This window comes from Homo sapiens, chromosome 13 (assembly GCF_000001405.40).
Source record: "Homo sapiens chromosome 13, GRCh38.p14 Primary Assembly".
NCBI lineage: Eukaryota > Metazoa > Chordata > Mammalia > Primates > Hominidae > Homo > Homo sapiens.
Window position 1 is genome coordinate 23,619,765 of NC_000013.11, and position 24,496 is coordinate 23,644,260.

General features: G+C 41.4%; 1 protein-coding gene across 10 annotated transcripts in view, besides 4 other annotated features; it reads left to right on the forward strand.

Moving 5' to 3' along the window:
* The window catches only part of TNFRSF19 (TNF receptor superfamily member 19), a 105,682-nt gene that overhangs the window by 49,353 nt on the left and 31,833 nt on the right, over nucleotides 1-24,496 (forward strand). For all 10 annotated transcript variants that reach the window (XM_047430440.1, XM_047430442.1, NM_148957.4 and 7 more), the window contains one exon: nucleotides 6,943-7,028. In XM_047430440.1, coding sequence (XP_047286396.1) covers nucleotides 6,943-7,028 — 86 coding nt within the window. The remainder of the gene's footprint in view (nucleotides 1-6,942; nucleotides 7,029-24,496) is intronic.
* Nucleotides 1,266-1,765: an enhancer, noted in NCBI's record as "H3K27ac hESC enhancer chr13:24195169-24195668 (GRCh37/hg19 assembly coordinates)". NCBI's record gives its function as "activates a minimal SCP1, AML or CMV promoter by ChIP-STARR-seq in primed H9 embryonic stem cells {active_cell/tissue: H9 hESC(primed)}" and the evidence as "EXISTENCE:reporter gene assay evidence [ECO:0000049][PMID:30033119]".
* Nucleotides 11,853-12,661: an enhancer, noted in NCBI's record as "NANOG-H3K27ac-H3K4me1 hESC enhancer chr13:24205756-24206564 (GRCh37/hg19 assembly coordinates)". NCBI's record gives its function as "activates a minimal SCP1, AML or CMV promoter by ChIP-STARR-seq in naive H9 embryonic stem cells {active_cell/tissue: H9 hESC(naive)}" and the evidence as "EXISTENCE:reporter gene assay evidence [ECO:0000049][PMID:30033119]".
* Nucleotides 12,662-13,470: an enhancer, noted in NCBI's record as "OCT4-NANOG-H3K27ac-H3K4me1 hESC enhancer chr13:24206565-24207373 (GRCh37/hg19 assembly coordinates)". NCBI's record gives its function as "activates a minimal SCP1, AML or CMV promoter by ChIP-STARR-seq in naive H9 embryonic stem cells {active_cell/tissue: H9 hESC(naive)}" and the evidence as "EXISTENCE:reporter gene assay evidence [ECO:0000049][PMID:30033119]".
* Nucleotides 19,418-19,919: an enhancer, noted in NCBI's record as "H3K4me1 hESC enhancer chr13:24213321-24213822 (GRCh37/hg19 assembly coordinates)". NCBI's record gives its function as "activates a minimal SCP1, AML or CMV promoter by ChIP-STARR-seq in naive H9 embryonic stem cells {active_cell/tissue: H9 hESC(naive)}" and the evidence as "EXISTENCE:reporter gene assay evidence [ECO:0000049][PMID:30033119]".

Genomic DNA, 24,496 nt, shown 5'->3' on the forward strand with positions numbered 1-24,496 from the left:
GGTCTACAGGGGATGTACAGGCTGAGATAGGCAGTGCCCAGGGAGGGTGGGGAAAGGCCTGACCTAGGACTGGGATTTTATAGAGCCCATGCAGGGCTGTGCTGCCGGAGTAGGGGAGCAGGTCTGCCCGGGACTCCACCGTGCCTGGTTCCTCCTGCTTCCCCGTGGTCCTTGTCATTTGAGCCCACTGCTCTAGTTTCTACAGTGTTTGTTTATTCTTTAGGTAAATACTTAGCTATAGGAAAGTTATAAGTGAATAGACAGTTGAGTGATGTTTCACAATTTATTTATATGATTACTTTAAAATCCCATTTTTTTCTAAGTCAGCATTAGTATATGAGGCAGGCGTAATTACATAGTGACTTTTACCCAGGTCTTTTCAAAGTGTTTTCAAAGTACTCTTCCAGTTTAACTGTACTTCTGTGAAGAAACCAAATAGTTGGAACCCATTTTATAAACAGAAAAACTGAGGCAGAAAGACGTGAGCAAAATGCATATTGCTCCCCAAAAAGCAATGCAGAAGTCAGGCAAAAGGCAGGCATTGCTCTTTTTGGTGCCACTCTGCCTCCTGCGGCCTCATTCTCTAGCAAGAACCTGCTGCTGTCCATAGGCCGAGGTCCCCCAGGACACCAGCTGCTTCCCTCTCAGTAGCAGGTAGGGTGTGGAAATCATCTGTCCTCCGTGCCCACAATTTGAGTCATTCGAGAGAGCCAGTCCCCTTATTCCCACATCTGCTCTGTGACTTTAGACAAGTCATTTAACTTCTCTGAAATGCACTCTTCTCACCTGTAAAATGACCATGCTGTAAGAATCCACCCTGCAGAATTGTTAGAAGGATTAGAAATAGAAGGCATGTAAAGTGCCTAGCAGAGTGCCTAAGCCATAGGAAGTCCTAATGGAATATTGGACATTATTGCCAATTGATGATTTTGGGGGCCAGTGAAAACTTGGCATGACTTTTTCAGAGTGTGGCCAACAGGCCTCCAAGCTCCTCTGCTGGCAGCCGGTTCCTGAGTCCTTCCTGGCTCAGGGGAACTGGAACCCGCCCTGAAGAGTAGGCTGGCCCCTGCCAGCTCTTTGCTTCTTCTGGTGACAATGACAACTAACATTGAGCACTTACTATCATCCGAACCACTCTGTAAAGTAGGGATTCCTACCACCCCCTCTTAACAAAGAGGGAAACTGGTTCTCAGAGTGGATAAATGACTTCCCAGAATCACCCAGCTTGTAAATGAAAGGACTGGAATTCACCTTGCAGCTCCTCTGCCCCATGCTTAGGTGCATGTCTGATATCACTGGGAGGTCACCGCTGGGGCTTCCGTGATTGATTGATGGGAATCACAGGGACTGCCTCCGTCCGTGTGTGCTGTGTGCCCACTTCACCCTCACCCTACCCTCAGCAGACCCCTTGCTCCTGGAAGCTGCCTGAGTTGCCTGGGTTTTCGCATCCCTTTGCCTCAGCTCTCTGGTCTGTGCTCAGGGTGTTCCCTAGTAACCATGACACTGTTTAGGAGACCTAGACTCTTACTCTAATGATTAATCTTGTCATTAGCATTTGTTCACCTTCAGATAAGGGGCTATTGCTGTGGATTGCTGAGGAACACAAACAGCAGGCTGACTAACCACCAAGGTGCTAGCAAGAGCCCAGGACAGAGCAACGCTGTCATCCAGTGTCTCACAGACACTTCAGAAAATCCCATCCTGACTTGACTGTGACTCACAGGGCATAGTAACTGCCCTCAACCTTGTGTTAAGTGAGGTCATTGTAAAACCGGAGCTGTTCTATGGCATGCCATCTCCTTGCAGAAATGCACTCACTGATTGAAGAATTAGCAGTCTACAGCCAGATTTTTTTAAAATAGCAGTTTTCAAACACTGTGTTCATTAGGCTAACCAGTGCTATTTGGATTCAGTTCAGTTAAAAATTCCTCTTCATTGGGAGGCTGAGGCAGGTGGATCGCTTGAGCTCAAGAGTGTGACATCAGCCTGGGCAACATGGCGAAACCCTATCTCTAAAAAAAAAAAAAATACAAAAATTAGCTGGGCATGGTGATACACACCTGTAGTCCCAGCTACTTGGGAGGCTAAGATGGGAGGATGGCTTGAGCCCAGGAGGCAGAGGCTGAGGCAGAGCCAAGATCGCACCACTGCACTCCAGCCTGGGTGACAGAGCGAGACTGTCTCAAAACAAACAAAAAAGAATGAAGAAGCAAGCAGACCAGATACTGTTGATAGCTGCTCTCAGAGCTAGGTCTGAGCATCACCTCTTCATGCGTAGTAGTCACACGGGAGCCCCACTCACCCTCCTTTCTAAATAGCATTTCTTATTATTTCTAGTTAGTATTTAATGGTCATTCAGGCCTGGCGTGGTGGTCACACCTGTAATCCCAGCACTTTGGGAGGCCGAGGATGGTAGATCACACGGTCGGGAGTTCGAGACCTGTCTGGCCAACATAGTGAAACCCCGTCTCTACTAAAAATGCAAAAAACAAAATTAGCTGGGCATGGTAAACGGGTGCCTGTAATCCCAGCTACTTGGGAGGCTGAGGGAGGAGAATCGCTGGAACCTGGGAGGCAGAGGTTGCAGTGAGCTGAGATCATGCCACTGCACTCCAGCCTGGGCAACAGAGCGAGACTCCATCTCAAGAAATAAATAAACATTATTTAATTAATTAATTAAAAAATAAAAATGGTCATTCAAAACATGACAACCTTCTAGCCTCATTTGTCTCATGGTCCTCAAACTTTTAAAAAAAATTTTGGCAAATATATTCTCTTCGATTGTCAGGGAAGGCTCAGACCTCTAAACTGTTTTGTCACAATTAGAATTCTTTATTTTTAAAATGTTAAGTAGTGTCTATGCTTGATCATCAATACCTCCCATTTTCCTAACTTTTTAAGTGTTAAAAGATGGATTTCTGTATCCCCAATATTTATTCTTGAGAATGTTGGATATTACATTTTTTAACTTTTTTTGCTTTTTACATGAAGTGAGTTTTTATGTATAAAACACTATTTTGTGCTTTCTTGATATTTAATTCAATGAACTTCTATTGGGCAAGTTTTCGGGGTGAAAAGATAAAAAGTATTAGTCTGGATGTGTTACAATGTTTAGCAAGACTTCTTAAAGAAGAAAGCTCCTTTATATTGTCTTGTGATTTTTTAAAAAAATTGTATATGCATTTTTTTATTGTGGTAAAAAACACATAACATAAAATTTACCATCTTCACCATTTTTAGGTGCGCAGTTCAGTAGAGTTAAGTATATTCACATTGTTGTGAAACAGATCTCCAGAACTTTTTCATCTTCTCAAGCTGAAACTCTATACCCGTTAAACAACTCCCCTTTGCTTCTTCCCCCAGCCCGTGGAAACCACCTTTCTTTCTGTTTCTGTGAATTTGACTACTCTTAAGTACCTCATGTAATTGGAGTCATTCAGTATCTGTCTTTTTATGACAGGCTTGTGTCACTTAGCACCATGTCCTCAAGGTTTATACATGTTGTAGCATGTGACAGGAACCCCTCCTACTTGTTAAGACTAATAATATTTCATTCTGTGAAATACTTTGTTTATCCATATTCATCAGTGGACATTTGGGTTTCTTCTGCCTTTTGGCTACTGTGAATAGTGCTGCAGTGAATACAAGCATGCAAGTATCTCTTCAAGACCCTGATTTGAGTTCTTTTAGATATAGACACAGTAGTGGAATTGCTGGATTATATGGTAGTTCTGTTTTTAATATTTTGAGGAACCTACGTGCTGTTTTCCATAGCGGCTGCACCATTTTATTGTCCCGTCAGCAGTATACAAGGGTTCCAGTTTCTTCACATCCTTGCCAACACTTGTTATTATCTGTTTGTTTGTTGTTATTGTTTTGACAGTAGCCATCCTTATGGGTGTGAGGTGATATCTCATGTGGTTTTGACTTTTCAGTTCAGGGATGATTAGTGATGTTGAACATGTTTTTATATACCTGTCAGCCATGTGAGATATTTCTCCAAAGACATTTCTCTGGAGAAATGTCTATTCAAGTCCCTTGCCCATTTTTAAATTAGGTTGATTTTTTAATTGATGAGTTTATAGGAATTCTTTATATATTATAAATATTAACCCTTTATCAGACATATGATTTGCAGATATTTTCTTCCATTCCATAGGAATGTTTATGTCCTCTGATTTTAAGTTTAATATAGTCCCATTTGTCAATTTTTTCTCTTGTTTCCTATGGTTTTGGTGTCATATTTAAGAAATCATTGCCATAACTAATGTCATGAAGCTTTTCCTCTATATTTTCTTCTAGGAGTTTTATAGTTTTAGGTCTTTAATCTGTTGCATGTGGATGTCCAGTTTCTCCAACATTCCTTAAAGAGACTGTTCTTTCCTCACTGAGTGGTCTTGGCACCTTGTTGAAAGTCATTGACCATATACATGACGGTTTACTTCTGGGATCTCTTGTCTATTCCACTGGTCTAGTTGTCTGTCTTTATGCCAGTACTACATATTTTGATTATTGTTGCATTGTATTAAGTTTTGAAATCAGGAAGTATGAGTCCTCGAACTTTGTTTTTTTTTTTAATTTTTACTTCATAAATTCCAAAAGGAGTAATTTTATTAATATCTAATGGGAAGTCACTGTATTATATATCCTTTGAAAAGATTGTCATAATCAAGTGAAAATAGAATGTTGAGCAATTTCTGAATGTATCTGGGCATTTGAGATAACTTACCTAGTTTCAAATGCAAATTTTGCTTCTACCATAAATTATACAGATTTGCTACTACATTATGCAGTTTCACAAGATAATTGCATCTACCTGTCCTTTGTAGACTTGTTCTCTATATTACTATTTTTGTCATAGAAAATTTATGTTATATATATGAAAAAAAGAAAATCACTTGAATTCCCACAATCTAGAAATAGTCGCTGTTCATATACAGTATATAATATACTCCCAAAATTTTTTCATTGCAAATATATACACATAACTTTTTTTTTTTTTTGAGGTGGAGTTTCACTCTTGTTGCCCAGGCTGGAGTGCAATGGCGCGATCTTGGCTCACTGCAACCTCTGCCTCCCAGGTTCATGTGATTCTCCTGCCTCAGCCTCCTGAATAGCTGGGATTATAGGCGCCCACCACCATGCCCAGCTAATTTTTTGTATTTTTCATAGAGACGGGGTTTCACCATTTTGGCCAGGCTGGTCTTGAACTCCCGACCTCAGGTGATCCACCTGCCTCAGCCTCCCAAAGTGCTGGGATTACAGGCGTGAGTCACTGCGCCTGGCCACACACGACTATTTTTATATGTATTGGTAAAGAATCTGAGAAAATTGATAATAAAAGTGTGTGCCTGCACAAAATGGAATTATATGCATTCCTTTGTTTTCACTTAATGATATTTCATGACTTTTTAAAAATGCGTATGGTAGGTCTTCATCATCATTTTTAAAGGACACCTGGCATTCTATTGCCTTGGGTCTACCCTGATTGGTTATTGGTGGACATTGGGATTGTGCCTAATTAGCTTTTTTCCTTTCATAAACAATGCTGTGATTGTATTCTTTTTTTTTTTTTTTTTTTTGAGACAGAGTCTTGCTCTTTTGCCCAGGCTGGAGTGCAGTGGCGCTATCTCAGCTCACTACAAGCTCCACCTCCCGGGTTCACGCCATTCTCCTGCCTCAGCCTCCCTAGTAGCTGGGACTACAGGCGCCCGCCACCACGCCCAGCTATTTTTTTGTATTTTTAGTAGAGATGGGGTTTCACCATGTTAGCCAGGATGGTCTCGATCTCCTGACCTCGTGATCCACCTGCCTCGGCCTCCCAAAGTGCTGGGATTACAGGCGTGAGCCCCCGCGCCCGGCCTGTATTCTTACACATACATCTTTACCCAGTTGATTATTTCTTTAGGATGAGTTTCTAAATATGAAATTACTAGATAAGAAGTGTAAACTATTTTATTGAGTTCTAGTGACAGATTGCTAAATTGCCCTCCTAAAAGTGGCAGTTTATGTTCCCACAGGCAATATATACATATACCTATTGGCCTACACTCACACCAGCACTTGACTAATTTTCTAAGTAAAAATGATATATTTTCATTTTAATTTGAATGTACTTGATTAATAATGAAGTTAAACATTTTCATCTTAAATTTTTTAAAAAAATTTAATTGTGTCGTGCTTTTCAGTTTAATTATGAAATTTTTAAATTATGAAACATTCTTCTTTTGGGAATGAAAGTTGTTTGCTTATTTTTCAATTATAGTGTTCATTTCCACGATCAAGATTTTTAAGTTTTACCTTATAGACTGAAGGTATAGACAGTACCATAATTAGTACAATTTTTCAATCTTTGTTTGCCCGTTACCTATTATTGATGATGCTATATTTATTTATTTTTGCCCTTCAGATTTCTTTAAAATCTGTGTGTGTGTGTGTGTGTGTGTGTGTGTGTGTGTGGTTGCTGTTCATCTCTTCCACTTTGACTCCTGGTTTCTTGTTATGCCTAGAAAGACATTCCTGTATCAAGATTGTATGAGTATTTCCCTACATTTTTCCGTTGCTTTTATGGTTGCTTGGTTTTTTGGTGTCTGAATTCCAAATGCTAAAACCTAGTTCTTTATTCATTTATAAGGTATTTTGTCGTTTAAGTTTCAATAAAAATGCCGAAGACCACTGACTTTATATTCCCCCACCTGCACCCCCACCCCAATATAGAAGAAGTGCACTGAGAAGCATCTGCAAAGTTACGTTTAGGGGAATTGATATTTCTTAAGTGTCCACTGCTTCCTCTTCAAAAATGTGTCTACCTAAGATACTATTATTTAAGCCTCTGTGTACTTTTAACCGTAGAACTGGTAATGGAGACTGCTGGTAATTTATGACCACAACTGTAAGCTTAGATGAAAGAGTTAACAAGGAGTATTTTCCTTTCTCTTCTAGATTTTATAGGAAGACGAAACTTGTCGGCTTTCAAGACATGGAGTGTGTGCCTTGTGGAGACCCTCCTCCTCCTTACGAACCGCACTGTGAGTGAACGCAACACAGGCAGAGCCAAGGGGACGCCTGGCCTTTTGAAAAAGTTTAAATTTGTAAACGTTTCTTCTCTGGCAGATGGAGCCAAATCTGTCTCTCCTGTGGGGTGTACAGTGTGTCCTCTTTAATCAGGCTTCTGGCAGGACAGAAAGTCCCTTTGTTCTGTGCCTCAGTCAGCAAACCGGTCCCAGGGATTTGAATCTCAGAGTGGAGTGCAGACATTTTGCCACTGCTCAGCTCCTTCTGAAGCCTTCCCTGGCACCCTGGGTCTGTAATTCAGGCCACTTTGAATAACCAGGCGGCTCACATCCTCACTCTTAGGTCTTCGTGCCCTGGCCCCATGAATTCCTGGATTTTCCTTTCCTAGTCCCCAGACAGGATCATATGGTGGCATCTCTGCCTTCCCAGAGAAGTTCCTCTCTGTGAGTCACCTGCCCTCACTGTGTGTCACTAAATGGAACTTAGTTCACTTCATCCATTCCTTCTTTTCTCTCATTTAACAAATAAATGAGAAAAGAGAACTCCATTGCATGCTGGGGATACAACTGTATATGAGAAAATTGTGCCTTTTCCTCTTTATGTTAACATTAGTTACTCCTTTTGACTATGTATTTTGTGTAGATATAAAAGGTATTTGTTTCAAGTTATCAACCAGCATCAATTTTGAATAGGAAGAAGAGTGGCCTCTCACTCTTTTTAATCCTAAGTACAAACCTGGTCAATAGAAACCCACAGGAAGGGAACCGGTGAGTGGCCTCTATGTGGCAGAGCACGCTTGTCTGTGCCACAGCAGGGCTCAGGAGAGCCGCACTTCACGGCTCAGGGGAGAGCGAAGGGCAGGAGGGAGGACGGAGGAGGCTGCTCTATCCCACACACAGGTCGCTCATGCCTTTCTGGGGAGCATTGTTTTGATGTCATTTTCAATGCATGGGCTCTGTCCTCTTGCTTTTTGCTATGGTAAAAGTCCCCTCTGAACTAATTGAAAGTTAGTGCGTCATTTGATAAGGTCACATAGTACTTCTCTTTCCAAGAGTGTCATGGAATTTTGCAGTCCATATTAGTGTGTCCTTTACCAAAATGCATTATTTTCTATTCTTCATTTGAAGTGACAGAAAAGCAAAAGAAGTTGTAAGATTTTCTTTTATAGAAAACATATATCGATCCTCATTTTTATAATAGGTAAACATTCACCAAATAATTCATTGCAAATAACAAATGCAATATTGAATGCCTGTTATCAGTCACAATGCATATGCTTTACTTATTTTGTTTTACTTTTCTCAATAATCCTATCATCAGTCCAAATTTGTCAATGAGAACACTAGTCCAGAGAGGTGAATCCTGTTCTGTTGTTGGCTGCTAAGTCCCAGAGACAATATTCAAATTCCAGTCCAATTCTTTCTACCACAACGTACTGTCTCCCTAAGCTCCCTAAGGAAAACTAGGCTATCTCATCTTTCCTACACATTGACTCTTTCTTGTGTTGTTTGCTTTAATATTAATCACTTAAAGAAAACGCTAAAAATCTAACATGTCAGGGACACTGGAAGAGTGTCTTTATGCCACGACACAACCCATCAAAGGACAAGCCCTCTTGCCAGTTTAACATGCAGTGACCTGGGCCTGCCTGTAGGTCAGCCCAGCCACCATTCTGTCAGGAAGGTGAGTTAAAATCATGCACTGCAGCCCAGACTGCTGCACAGAGATTCCGTGAAGTCAGTATTACCACTTTAGAGTCAGAAAGTCTTAGGGGTTTTTTCCCATTAATTTATTGGATTTATATTTAATACAATCAAGTCAAAACTCTGAGGCTTTGGGATTTTCTGCCTTCTGGGTTCTGACTAAGCTCAGATATCACAAATTTGCCTTTGAAGGTAGATCTCACATGTAACTTTTAGTGTCTTGTGACGTCCTTACTAATTTAGTGTTGGGTGAAGTCCTTAGTATTTTAAAAAGAAAATTAACCAGTATATATATATATACATATATATGTGTGTGTATATGTTTCTTCATATATGAAACTTTTTAGAAAGCAAGGAAGAATAAGCTATTTGTCAAAGTAAAACTTGCAGTGTGCACAGCTGATAGCCTTTCAAATAACAAAGCAAGACAGGCTGGTAGTCTTCAGTGAGCATGAGTCCTTATCTCTGTAAAAGAAAGTTTGCTGCCTTTGGCACAGTTCTTGGCAGTAATTCCAGAACACAGCTAATCTCCTCAAAAGAGATTTTGGAGTCTTTTGGGAAAATTTTGTAAGGCGCCTTATGTTTTCATTTCTTCCACTTTGGGCTTTTTTTTTTTTTTAGCTCATCCACAAAGAGCTACTGCTTCAGTGATGTTTTTCTCCCTCTTGAGGAGTTCCTGTGCTGCTTAGATTCTCAGCTAGAAGAAAGTGACACCTCTCAAGCTAACTTAAGGAGTGGGGTTTGTTTCAAGGACATGCCTGGTAGTGGGAGAGGCAAGAACTCTCTGGAACCAGGAGTAGCCCTCCCTGGGGGTCCCAGGTGGCTCGGAGTCTGGTGGCACACCACGCCTTCTGCAGAAGGAGACCCTGTATGCTGCATGCTCTACAGCAGCTCTCTGGGTCTGCGGGGCTGTCTGTCCTAACCTAATGGGTCTCTTTGCTCTGGATTTCCCATTTCTGTCAGCTGCCCCAGGGACCACCCCAGTACCACGCCTATCTGTGGCTGGTGACCTGAGCCAGCACTCCCCTCCCCAAGGGCTAGGTCTTCCCTTGTGAAATGGAGTGGTACCTGCCTGCTAAGGAACAGACCCACCTGCCTGCTGTGGTTGTATTGCCAGAAGTGTTGGATTCACATCTTGGCTGCGCTTTGTACTGATGGTGTAACCTTGGGCAAATAGTCTCCCCTCTTTGAACCTCTGTTTACTCTGGAAAATGCCCAAGTCTGCAGATTTTGGATAGAACTAAATGAACTAGTAGTCCAGCAACATGATACCTGCCCCGGGGCAAGCTCAGTAATGACTGTCTACCTGCTGGCCTGCCTTCTTTCAAACCATGACCCTGCCTGTCCTCGGCCATACCCTGACCCAGATGTGTTCTTTGGAGGGTCTGCTGCTTTGGAGTTGTCCTGGACGGGGAGGATCTCATGGTGCATCTGGCTCTGATGTTTGTCTTCTGGGGCTTCACCTCCCCTGGTGGGTGAGCACTGAAGGGTACCGGAAAGTGGGTTCCATGGAGTTTTGTGCCTGAGCAGCTCAGATGGGGGCCAGGTGCTGTGGCTCACGCCTGTAATCTTACTACTTTGGGAGGCTGAGGTGGGAGGATCACTTGAGCCCAGGAGTTCAAGACCAGCCTGGGCAACATAGTGAGACACCATATTCACAAAAAATAAAAAATTAGCTAGGGATGGTGGTGTGTGCCTTTGATTCTAGCTACTTGGGAGGCTGGGGTGGGAAGATTGCTTGAGCCCAGGAGGTTGAGGCAGCAGTGAGCTGGGATTGTGCCACTGCACTCCAGCCTGAACAACAGAGTAAGACCCTGTCTTAAAAAAAAAAAAAAAAAAAAAAGGGTAAAAAAGAAGAAACTCAGATGGCTAGACTGGGAGGCTGAAGGCTGAAGAGACCCGAATTAGGCCAGTCTCTCCCCTCTCTATCTGGATCTGAGGCCTCTGGCCCTACCCCCACCAGATGAGCTGTATGCCCCGCCTCCCCAATAACAATGGATTTGTGATGATAATCCTCCCATAGCCCGTCTGTCTGGGCACTAATGGCATTAATGTGTGATACTGACTGGCTGGGCATGGAGCTCAGGGTTGATGAGTGACACTCCTGTAAACTGCAGATAAATAAAAGACACCCATTACATAGAAATGCCTGCTGCAGGCATTGTTCCCCCAAGTAACTTCAGTTCCTAATCACCTGTGCCCACTTAGAGCTTCAAGGAGAAATAGAGAAAAATACACAAGAAAGTTTAGAACCATATCCTGCCTTCAGTCTGATAAGAAATGCAGATTTAGTATGATTTCTTTTAGCAATGTTTACTTAATTTGGAACAAATACTGTGGTTGGAACAAATGGTTTTGAAAAAATTCAAAGGGGTTTTCACCAGAGTAAAACTTTATTTAAGTATGTTTAACCTAGATGTTTGCTTTGTTCTCGGGGGCTTTGTAAGACAAGCCACGTGATTCTGGAGAGATAAGGGATCAGATAAATCACTGTGTGAGAGAAAAGAAAGCCTGAGCTGGGCTGACCTGCAACTCTTAGGAATTGTATGTGGCTTCATAGTCTTAGAAGACAGCAAGCAGTTGTTTGCACCAATAAGTAATAAATCACATTATTAAAAGTTTATTATTTTCCAAAGGAAGTTTAAAATATATTTTAAATAACAAATAAAGGCAATTTCAAAATAAACTTTGAGACGTATTTGCTCATTAAAGATAATTTTTAACATTTAGTAGAAAAAAGTGAGTGGTGGAAGGGAACCCCAGTAGTCCCCAAAACAGAGCATTTGCAGCATTGATCATTACAAAAACAAAGCATTCTAAGGGTTTTCTTTTCAGTCTTTTTTCTATCTATGCCACTGATTTTGAAAAGATGAGCATAATTACACTGTACATACTATTTTGGATTCTTTTGCCACTTCGGATATACTTTTTTTCATATAATGACTTGTCTGGGTAAAGTGTCACACAGGTATGTGGCCTACAGTTGGACTTCTGAGGCTGTTCCTATTCCACGTGACACTGCTGTCCCCTTCTGTGCGAGCTGTCATGCCTTATTCATGCACTAACGATGGATGTCCATGAGTGTATTTCTGTGTCCAGAGGTACTCATATTTTTGTCTCTTGACATTCAGTGTTAAATTATTTTAAAGTAAGAGTGCCTGGTAAGTAAGAGTACCTCTTTTAAACCAAACAAAAACAAATTTAAAAGGAAATAAATTGGGAGCATTTTGAAATCAATACAGGTTTCCTTTAAAGGAGAAGGAAGAGGAGGGAGTCTGGGAGGGAGGGGGAGAAATAGCAAGTTCCTCGTGTTGAATTCCAAGTTGACTTCAGCTCTTTCCTGGGTATTTCAGCCAACCAAACCATGGAGTTAAGAAGCCAGCTCTTGGTATCCTCTTCTTCCTGGGCACTGAAACATTTACTGAATCTGATCAGAGTAAATGACTGCATAATGAGACGCAGATGAGATATAGATAATCCAAAAGCATTTTCCATTTGCTGGGAATGTCATGTGATTTTTACTCTGTTTGTGGATGGTTTTTTGTTTCTGCAGTGGAGTTGTTTCTGATGAGTTTGCTAATACTTAACAGCCCTTTTCCAAGAGGACTTCCTGGGGCCTCTGCATGATGAGCCCACAAAGCCAGTGCCTAAAGGACTAATTAAGGGCTCCATTTACTGAGGGTTTTCAAGTCGGCTGTGGTCCTCAGACCAAGACTCCTAAGTGTCCAGCCAGGGGATCACTGGCACAGCTGCTCTTAAGGGGCCTTGCTTTGGGTATTGTTTCAGGAACACATAACTGCTACTATGCATTTTAAATGAGTATCTGAGGCAGCAGAGAAGGGGTGGCTTCTTATAGGCAAGTCTTAAATACTTAGCTCTTTACTGCCAAACAGAACTTTCAGGGCAGGGAATAGGAAGACAATGAGATCAAAGGAAAGCCCATGGTTTGTGGAAGACAGATTACCCAACCAGGCCTCCCTGGGAGGTTCAAAGCAGGGATTCCCTCCATTGTTCACCCATTTATGGTTGGTTTAAGTTACTGTTGCTCCTTCTCCCCTTCCTTCCATTGTCTAGAGTTCCTTGGTTTTCTTTACTGTATCTCTTTCTTTTTGTCAATAACATGTGATTTCATTATTTTACTGGAAAATAATCTAAAATAGTGGTAGTCAAAGGTTGCTTATGTGGAAACCAAATAAACACAGCTGAAAACTTAAACCAGGTCTCCCCACAGAGTCCCAGCTCTATATCTCTATCAAGAGGACACCTTTAAATCTCTCCCTTGGAACTCATTTATTTTTTGTTGCAAGCATTACTGTACCAAGCCAAACCAGCCATGGTGGAGAGGATTAGAAGAGAGAGGAGAAGCTAATCGAGGCAGAGATGGAGGCAGCCAGAAGTGAAAGCGCAGCCTGCAGGGAGGAGTCAGAAACTCACAAAAAGCAGCATGAAGAACCCCAAACACATTGTCATTTGATGCCTTTTAGTGTGGAGCAAACAGACCTTTTCATCCTAATGACTGACCCCTGAGGTTTTCTCTCTAATACCCCTTAGTATGATAATTACAGTTCTTATTATTATTCTGGACCCCAAAAAGGGGTGCAGGGATGATCAAATTACACTTGTTGACGTCTTTTTTTTTTTTTTTTTGAGACAGTCTCACTCTGTTAGCCCAGGCTAGAGTGCAGTGGTGCAATCACCACAGATCTCTGTAGCCTCAACTTCACAGGCTCAAGTGATCCTCCCACCTCAGCCTCCTGAGTAGCTGGGCCCACAGGTACATGCCAGCATGGCTGGCTAGTTTTTGTGTTTTCGGTAGAGCTGAGGTTGAATTCCTGAGCTCAAGTGATCCACCTGCCTCAGCCTCCCAAAGTTCTGGGATTACAGGCATGAGCCACCACACCTGACCATGAAGTCTTTTTCAAGAAAGCAGAAAACTGTTGTAATTCATTTAAAAATGATTTACATCAGAAATGACCCTCTCAAGGTTATTTGCTTATTGAGGTAAACAATTGTTTTCTGAAAATATGTTGAAAATTTGTTACAGCAAACTCCTCATTTTCTGAGGATGCTCAAAACAATAGCTGGGGCTGGGCATGGTGGCTCATGCCTGTAATCCCAGCACTTTGGGTGGCCAAGGTGGGTGGATCACCTGAGGTCAGAAGTTTGAGACCAGCCTGGCCGACATGACGAAACCCTGTCTCTATTAAAAATACAAAAATTAGCTGCGCGTGGTGGCAGTCACCCGTAATCCCAGCTACTCAGGGGGCTGAGGCAGAAGAATCACTTGAACGCGGGAGGCGGAGGTTGCAGTGAGCCGAGATCGTACCGTTGCACTCCAGCCTGGGTGACAAGAGCGAAACTCCATCTCAAAACATAAGATAAAATAAAATAAAAAATAAAACAAAACAAGAAACAATAGCTGAGCAGTTTAAATGTCTTGGCCTGTTTAGAGAAAAAATACACCATAAATGTAATTGGTTTATATAATTATTTAGCTATTTCAAACACTTATTCTCCAGATATGTTTCCATAGCCCTAATTTCATTAAAGTTACAGAAATCAGAAAATTCTTTAAAAAGTTTCTTAAACACATGTGCCCTACATTGATTCTTGTCTCCCAAGAAATGCCCTTTTTCTCAAATTGAAATCTTTCAAATTTAGCAGTTTTCTCCCATAAAGTTGCTAAATATTTGTAAGTCATTGACTTTGTCTGTTATCAGTAAAAATGGAAAAGTTGAATGCCTTGACTGAGTGAGTTGACAGCACCCCTTGAATTGGGAGCTGCTCTTCAAAGTCGCTGTGTGCCTGAGCCTTTGGTGGGGCCTTCTGAGAACAGTAGCAGTTGATTATTACCCAGTCACCAATAAATCGAATTTCTCTGGCTTTTATCTTCAGTCTCTGTTAGACATTTAAAACCATTGAGCTGGTTTAAATATTTACTCACAATCAACAGGTTGTGATTTGTTAAAGGGCATCACTAAATTAAATGTTTTTCAGATTAAGTACAGTTTATTTTTAAAAATCTAAAATCCAGCAGGACTGTTTCATTAAGCTGTGGACTTAGTGAAATAAGGTGGACTTAAGTCCACACGTAGTGAAACAGTGCATTGGTGGCCACACACATGGATCAGTGATTTGTGTGTGTCCCCATCAAATGCTTAAAATAAATGTGAGCTTATGGAGGAAAGCAGACTCACATTTGATGCCAAACCTGTAGTGGATATACTCAAAGTTCAGGCTCTATCACTCCTTTTTGTATAGGGAGCATTCACCCTCTTGAGGTGGCATGTGAGGGCCTGCACCGTGTGGGAAAACAGCTCTTGGGTTCACGGTCTAAGGAAGACCAGGGGATGTGGCCTTAACCAATGGATTGGGATCGTTTTGTCTTTAAACTTGGGTGTCTAGCCACTTCCTAGGGGGTTTACTTGAGTACCGTCGTTTTTGAGAAGGGAAAAAAGAAGTTCCAGAATAGTGTGAAATAGCAAGTATTTCTTGCATTCCGAAAGGTACCAGGCATTTCATCTGCATTTCTCAGCCTGCCCTTCACATAATGGTCCATGGTGTGTGTTTCCTTAAAGCCCTCATTCCACAGGACATGGTCACGTGGAGGGTAGGTGAGTCCTACCCCAGGCCTTCCTGGCAGCACAGACAGGCCAAGCTCAATACTGCCTCTCCAGGTGAACTCCGAGGGACAGGATTAAGAGAGTTTTAAAATAATTTATAAATTAAGAAAAATTCTGAACCTATAAATAAAATGTAATTGAGTCATCCTACTTGAAAAAATGGGTAAAGAATCTCAAAGGTTGAAAAGGGCATTAGAAAGTTAAAAATGGAAGCTTGAAGTCAAATTTCAAACAGGAATTAATTAATTTAGAAGATAATATCCCACTTTGGGTTTTTAAAACATTATTTTTTGAGACAGAGTCTCACTCTGTCATCCAGGCTGGAGTGCAGTGGTGTGATCTCGGCTCACTACAACCTCTGCCTCCCAGGTTCAAGCGATTCTTCTGCCTCAGCCTCCCAGGTAGCTGGGATTACAGGTGTGTGCCACCATGCCCGGCTAATTTGTGTATTTTTAGTAGAGACGGGGTTTCACTATGTTGGCCACGCTGGTCTTGAAATCCTGACCTCAAGTGATCTGCCCGCCTTGGCCTCCCAAAGTGCTGGGATTACAGGTGTGAGCCACAGAGCCTGGTCTAAAACATTATTTTAATTGCTTCATTTATTATTTCGATTATCTCAGAGAAAATATTTTAAGTATTCATGAGAGTTTTATCTATTGTAAGTCATGCAGCAGTTTTCTTAATTAAATATTTAAGAAACATTTTTCTTGATAATTATAATTTTAAAAGGATGTTTTAACTTTCAAAATAATTTTTGAACTTTACTGAAATATAATGTATATACAAGAAGATGCATCATTTTAAATGTAAAATTCAGTGAGTTTTGATGGATGTATAACTTATGTAATCATTTCCCCCATCATGATACAGAACATTTCTGTCACCCTCCCATAAGGAAAGTGACTATTTTTAAGCATTGGTCTTCTTGGAGTGGCCTCAGAGGGGTCCGTTAGTGAGACGTCTAGGGGATATGGTTTAGGCATCTTTTTGCTCTATTGCTGTTGTAAAATGTGTGCATGTGTGTGTTAATGTTTCCTGTCCTTGCTTCATTCTCTGTCAAGAGACCAACGGGTTATGTTATGAAATTTTCTCTTTAAATGATTTTCTGAAAAATCTTCACTATTGAACTTTCTAAAATGCCATTGAAAATAATTCCTGAAAATATTGCCAGGGGTCGTAGGAGGCATGGTTTTCTTCAAAATGAGAAAAATTGCTTTTTAAAATTCTTGGTATTGGAATGTTTAACACAGGAAACATGTCAGGGAGTCTGTTTTGGGTGCAGAATGCTAGTCTAGATATTAATGAAGTGCTGCAGAAACACATCTCTCCCAGGTTGTGAATGATCTCCTCGTCTTCTCCTTTAGGGACAGCTATCTTGAATGCTAAGATATCCGTATCACTGATGAGGACACTGGGGCTGCCCTGGTGAAAACCACAGGCCAACTTCCCAGTTCTCAGGGAGTTAAGATTCCGATGCTGCAGGGCAGAGCTATTATTTACAATAAGGTGCTGAGGGAAGGTTTATTAAGGTGACCCTAGGACAGGGCCCTGAAAGAGGGGAGGAGGCAGAGACACCCACAGCAGAGGCCACAGCTGGTGACTGAGTCGATAGGTGCATCACGTAGGGCTCCTGGGCCGTTATGAAGATACATTTAACTTCCCTCGGACTCCTGTTGGAAGTAGAGTTGAGGGGAGCAAGGGAGGAAGCAGGAGCTCACTCTCCTAGTTTCAGCAGAGCATTTTTAGCTGGCACAGTAGATGTATGTGCTTTGAGAAATAGTGTGGCTTTTCACCCCTTTCTCAAGAGTTGGTTATTAGTTTATTTAATTCAATTTATTTAATTTAAATAAATCATGTATTTACTAGTTATGTGTTAATAATATTATAATATTTGCTATGTTTTGTTTGCCTCTTCAGATAGTCAAGGAAAATTAGAGTTGTTGTTTTTTTTCCTAAACCCAAGTGAAACACGTATTTGAAAGAGGTTAACTTAAGCTTTTATATTCTGCCGTAAGCTTTTACATTATCATGAGTGTTTTCTATGATTTTAGGCCCGGGGGACACAGATGAAGGCCTGAAAAATAAAATCAGGGGAAGCTCTCTCTGATTACTAATTTTCTCATAACTATCTCAGTTGATATCCCAAGACTAATGCAAACCCATCTACTTGATGTTTTTCATGGAAGCTCATGTAGGCTTCGCTGTGAAGAAGGCTTGATTTTGAGTCCTAACACTTAATTTTCAGACAAATTATTTAACTTTTCTTCATCCCTGTTTCTTAAAATGAAGATGCTAGTGATTGTAAAAGAGGCAGTAATGCCGGGGCTGAGTCCTGAATCGACTTCCTGTTCCAAGTCTCAAGAAAAACATTCTCTTTCTAACCTAACCTGGAGTTTTGTGCTTTGCCGTAAGTCCTGTCAAATGTAAAATTATAAGTGAATTAATACCGGTATCAATTCTGCTGGCATAGAGGATAGCAGGAAGCACTGTCTAAATCCAGATTTTCTTTTCAGTCTAGACTCAAACAACCATACCAAACTGTGCACAGATATACATTTTTTTCTTAGTTGGAAGTTAATGGGTGGAAATAATTTGAGTGTCATCATCTGAGAATAATTTCACAGATTACTTCTTCAAATAGTGCAGTGAGGTAAATAAGAGTTATCCACTGATGACAGGGAAGGCAGCCTCACAGGATCAGGGTCCGCAGGCTAACACCTGCCTGTCTCCACGTGGCCTTCTCCAAATGCAAGGGAAAATGGACACTCCCTGCTTTCTTTCACAGGGGCTGGAGGCCGGAGCCCAAAATGGAGCCTGGCACTCAAAGGGTTAAGGAGAGTCCGTGGTGGAACTGGGAGGGCGGAGGCCCAAGTTTCTGGTCTCTGTTGGATTCCCAGATGGCAGCGCCAGTTGAAGCACACTATTTTTGAGCTTGCTCTCCCTCAGCACAGATGTTCAAGGCCATAATAATGTGTTTCTTTTATGGTGTCTTTTCTGTTTCTCGGTGCAGAAGTTTAAAAGCTTCATTGTTTCATCAGTCAGATAAACACAGCAAGACGTTATGGGTCCGTAGACTATTAAAAAGAAAAACATCCTTGCGGGTAGGGAAGGTTCCTTTACTCTCTCATGTTTGTGAGAAACACTGTAGGTAATCTGCTGCCATTGTGCAGCTTTTAATTGTTTTCAATGTTAATGATGGTATTTATGGTAATTAACATACAAAACAGCTGTACTTACAATCCGGCAAGTGCCAAAGAGGATCCTGAAGCAGTGAGTTGCTCCGGCATAATGGGGTGCCTTCAGTCAGCCCTGCAGTTAGGGCCAGGCGCTGAGGCCTGGGGTGCACCTGCCTGCCTTGCCAGCCCCTCCCCATGGTCATTGCTTTTTCGGTCTTCTTTTCTTTTACTCAAAGACAGGCGTGATCATATTTGGCCTAGTCCATCCTGGTGGGCAGCAGGTCTCTAGACCAAGTGATCTGGAAGCAAGATGGAAAGAGCAGAAATCAAGTTTGGTTGAGGAACTGACCAGATCTCAGCTGCGGTGGCCGTCAGCCCCTGTAGCAGCTTCCTCCCTGACTTCCTCCCTTCTGCTGATGTTCCTGGGTCCCTGGTTTGCTTCAGGATCCCTCTTACTGCCTTAGTTTCTCTCCCTCACCCCGTGCCTCTGAACCATCCTCTTGACTCCTTTGCTCCCTCAGCCTCCCATCACGCTGCGGGTTCCTGTCCCTGGGCTGCCGGGTGCCCTTCAGTCCTGTTTTCCTTGAGTTTCATTGCTGCATCATGCCAACATTTCTGCTGGTCTGTTGTGTAATTAATACACATGCACATCATAGAGTGGAAAACTCTTCATGTCTTTATCTTGTCCATCAGTAATTTATTTTTGTCCTATTGAGAAGAAATAAGAGCTGTTTAGTTCAACTCAACAATTAATTTTTATTTTCTTGATAGAAACATTCACATTTTATACTAATAAATAAAAACCAAAGTCAAACTTAAGGAAATTTTAAGGCCAGGTGTGGTGGCTTACATCTGTAATTCCAGCACTTTGGGAGGCTGAGAAGGGTGGATCACTTGAGGTCAGGAGTTCGAGACCAGCCTTGCCAACATGATGAAACCCTATCTCTACTAAAAATACAAAAATTAGCTAGACATAGTGGTGTGGGCCTGTAATCCCAGCTACTCAGGAGGTTAAGACAGGAGAATCATTTGAACCCGGGAGGCAGAGGTTGCAGTGAGCCAAGATCATGCCACTGCACTCCAGCCTGGGCAACAGAGCAAGGCTCCATCTCAAAAGATAATTTAAAAAAAATTTAAATTCATATAGCCCCCGTAGCAGGTGTCCTTGGGGACACCAATTCATGACATAGCTCCTTTCCTTTGCCTCCCCTCAGGAGCCCTGCTGTGCACAGTTATAGCCACATGCCAGGGGGATTTGTCCTCCCCTTTCCCTGGAGTCTCCCACCAGTGTTAGGAGCAGACTATGAAAGATTACAGCTCTTGGAGTTCATGCTTGGTGCTTCTTCCCTAGGTAGCTCCCCAGCCAGTACCACCTGGCACAAACCAGTCAGGCCCCCTGGAAGATTTGGCCAGCAGGGCAGTGGTCTGCGTGCCCTGACCCGGCCCTGGAGGGAGCGGGCGACAGTGAGAACTGAGGCAGTGGTGGGAGGGAGGGAGAGGAGGAGAGAGCCCAGAGGATTTGGAAAGACCATTTCCAAGCGCTGCACATGGCTGGATTTGAAAGGATATGCTAAAATTGTTCTTTATTTTTCTAGCAATTGAAATACAAAGGACTTATTGTTGCAGTCAGAATGAATGATGATACTGTGGGGTTTTGGCTTAGGAACAAAACAAAACTCTGCTGACATGAGCGCAATACTCTGTACTCAGGTTAGTAAGGACCATCAACTCACTTTATAGTTTTAGACAGCATTGACACCTGACTAAGACACTGTAGTGCTGTCAAGCCAGGCAGCGGAGACGTTCTGGGTGGTGCTGACCTGCAAGAGAAAGGGGTTTGGCTACCTGAGAGGCTCTGTTATAAAACATGCTGTGGGAGGCTGTTTGTGTAGTTGGAGGAGGTTCGCAATGGAAAATAATGGTCTTGATTCGACAGGGAACCAGTCCCGTATCTCCACACACCAAGTAGAGACTTGGTGACTTCTAGCTTACTTTTAAAAATCAATTTTAGTAACCAAACAGGATGCTAATACAGGTCAGAAAATGTAGCTAGCTGTGTTGATGAGAATCATTAGAAACTGCCAGATTTCTGTGTAACTTCATGCTGCCAGCTTATCGCCAAGTAAGTGCTACTACAGCCTTCCTCGATGACTAACCTGTACCCAGCTTTGAGTGAGAGTGTGGTTCTCTCTAGTTAAAACTAAAACAGTCAGAGAGGGGAGGCACCAGATGAGCTGCTCTTTCTGGTTATAAATGCTAGGCTGGGCCAGGTGGCCTCCCGTCTTCTTTCTCCTAACCACCTTTCTCCTGCACACCTTCTCCTCTCAAGTAGGCCTTTGTCTTTCCATGTTGGCAAACTGTATGCCAAGATGTTCATCTGAGAATGTTCACCAATCCATTCTTTGAATGAATTAAATCAAATTGGCTTGTCTACAAAGAGAATTCTCATATGCTCCTCTCACCAGCCTTTGTTTCCTGCCATAATTTTGCAGTAAGTGAGGGAGACCATTTGAATGTTGATAGTAGAACTAAAAACATAGGTCCAAGGAAATACAGGTTTCTTCTCTGCCTTTTTTTCTTCAGGTTCATTTCTATCAAACTCCTTTCCTTCAGTGCCTCTTTTCTTGCATGTATTTTAAATATGTGATGTTATTGTTTCTTAATGTTCATTAATGCTGTTATTTTCTTGTTGCTACATGGTTAATAAGTCCAAACCCAGGTCGTAGTGCCCAAGCAGCTAGGGAGGAAATAGTCATACTGTTTTAGTTCGTTTAATAAAAGATTCCATGAAAGATTTTTGAATCTTTGTACAAAAATTACACTCAATTATGGTACTATCAGCTGTGTCTTGCCTGTGCAGAATTCTCTAATGATCTATTTAAGAAAAATCTTCTAAATTCAGATCTTGGGCTTGTTTTCCATATCCCTTGAGTGAGAACATTTACCATGATGACTTCTTTAAAAATTTGGCAGGAGGCACCTCAGCTATGTATTCTGAGAGCTGTCTATGTAATTGACAAATAATTAAATGTTTTCTTATTTGCAGATCAAGGATTTTCTTTTTTGGTGAGGGATGGAGTCTTGCTCTGTCACCCAGGCTAAACTGCAGTGGCACAATCTCAGCTCACTATAACCTCTGCCTCCCACGTTCAAGTGTTTCTCCTGCAGCCTCCCAAGTAGCTGGGGTTACAGGCATATGCCACCACATCTGGCTAATTTTTTGTATTTTTAGCGGAGATGGGATTTCACCATGTTGGCCAGGCTGGTCTTGAACTCCTGACCTCAAGTGATCCACCTGCCTCAGCCTCCCAAAGTGCTGGGATTACAGGCGTGAGCCACCGTGCCTGGCCAGGATTTTCTTAGTAATGGCTTTACCATTTCATTCACAATATTCCTTAATTATTTTGCTAATTGTTGCTTATTGTTATATAACATTGCTTGATGTTACCAATGAAGAAATCATTTTGATGAAGTCCTTTGAGATACTTAGATAAATGTACAGATGCTGCTTGACCTACAATAGGGCAACATCCAGATAAATTTGTTGCAGATTGAAGATATATGTCAAAAGTGTTAGTACGCCTAATCTAACAAACAGCATCGCTTACCCTAGCCTGCTTTAAATGTGCTCAGTACACTTATATTAGCCTACACTTGGGCAAAGTCATCTAACATAAAGCCTATTTTATTAGAATGTTGAATATCCCATGTAACTTACTGAATACTGTATCATACACTATGTCAAAATTGCAATGGTTTCACGCCATTGTAAAGTCAGCAAATCTTAGATTGAACCATCATAAGTTGAGGATTATCTATAACAGTGTCTATGTCTTTTATAAGAAAGAAATCTGAACTTCTGGAAAAGATTATTTTGGTTTGTTTTTAATCATTAATTCTCCTTCTTAACTTTAGTACTTGAGGGCTATGGGGACACATGCATCAACAATTAGTTGCAAGTCACTCATTCCGTCACGTTTCCAAAGGCCTCTCCACTGTATAGGCGGTTTCAGTCAAGAGACACTCCAGATTCTGACATAATCATTATAATGTCTGGATTCTGAACAATAATTGGAGAAAGCATGACTAACACTTATGGCAGTTTACTGTGTGCCAGGTTCCACGCTAACCCTTTATGTGCAGTACTTCATTCAGGTCTCACAAAAATCCTGTGAAATACATATTGTTATTTCTTGGTTTTACCAATAAGGAAACTGAGGCAAGAGGCTGTCATTTGCTGGTGGTTACACAGCTAGTGCATGCAAAGCCAGGAGGAGAACCCAGACTGTTGGCTGCAAAGCTGTTAACCATTAATATGCAGCATCTTCCAGTAAGTTTTAAAGCCAAGAAAGAGGGAAGGAAAGAGGGATGATGGCCTGTTGATGTGCTTGTTATCACACATGGACCAGTGGAGGGAGGCTCTATCTAAATCCTTTTAGAAATTTAAACTATGATCCCTCAGAAGCAGAGTGCTTACATTTATCAATAAACAATGCTTTCAGTTTTAGTATATACCTACTCCAGAGCTCCAGCAATAAAATCAGGTCAGGTCTTTGGAGTAGATGTGTTTCCAGTTTACTCCTCATTGACTAAAATCAGGTTCATGTAAGCCAACTTTAATGTGTGTTCACAGGCACATGAAAATTTACCACATCGATTCTGCAAATGCAGTCTTTTCATACGTATATTAATTTATCTAGACAGTCAGTGCTGCCTTTTTCTGCTTCATCAGTAGGTGTAATTAAAAGCAACTATTCTTTGTAATTAATTGTTGATATTGCGTTCTTACCTTTAACCCTTCGATCCAGAGTAATGTTCTGTCAGTACCAAACTAATAACAATAAACTTATTTCTCTCTCTGAGAGGAGATTTAAAGCCACTGGCTATTACCTAAGATTTTCCAAGAGCAGAGATAAAGTAGCATCTAAGAACTGATAGAGTAAGAAGTTGTTATTTAAAGAAGTTTCTGCTTTTCTAATAGCATACCTCTTCTGTTTTATAAATTCAGCAACATGTTTTGATGAAAGCTCTTGTGAATGCAGTAGAGAGCTTTGATTCATGTAATTGCAAGATTTGGACCTTTCTGCCTATAATTCAGAAGATAAAAATGGGATAATAGAAACCATTTTGGAACATTAGCTGTAATTCTGTCTCTTTGAATGCCTTGTAAAAGAGAGTAATGTTTATTAATAATCTAAAGGAAACTGTTTTTTAAGTGACTCTTGTAAGAACTTGAGAATTAAATGTGAGAGGAACCAAGTGCTTTAAATTTCAGAACGGATATAAACATCTCCCCCAGTTTCACAGAGGACATTTCACATTTTCTTCTGGTTTTCTTCCAACACACAGTAACAGGCTGAGGATGGCAATAAAACAATGATGGGCAGGCAGCCAGAGGAAAACAGAAATAGTTAAATCAGAATTGCCGGATGGCGAGAAGGTGCGAAGATCCTCCATGGGATATCTCCAGAGTCCTGCTCTGTGTTGTTCTAAATAACTAAATAACCTCCACCCCACAATGCCCCAGTTGAGATCCCATCAGTGCCATTGCAATGTGCATTTCTTTTGTTCCAGGGATAGTCTTTCATCTTTTACATTTCACTTTACTTACCCTGGCTCATAGCCCTTAGACACAAGTTCATACAACAATCTAAGTGGGAAAAAAAGATATAAAAGTGTACCTCTTAGGAGTGAGTTCTGCTCACAATGAAAGCATAGTTATGAATCATCAGTATTAATATTAAAACAGAGACAGCTTGAGGCCACCATAGGGTTCTGCCTTGATTCACTTACATTTAAATCACAAAAGGGCTGATAATTAGGGCAGTGCCTACCAAGGGAACTTAAAAGAAGAGTCAAGCTCAGAAGTTCTGTATTTATAAACCAATGTTGCAACATTGCTCACCATAGGGGAAAAGCTTGCATAGCTGTACTGGTTTTGATGTGCCCTCAGTTTCATATGGTTTGGCTATGTCCTCAC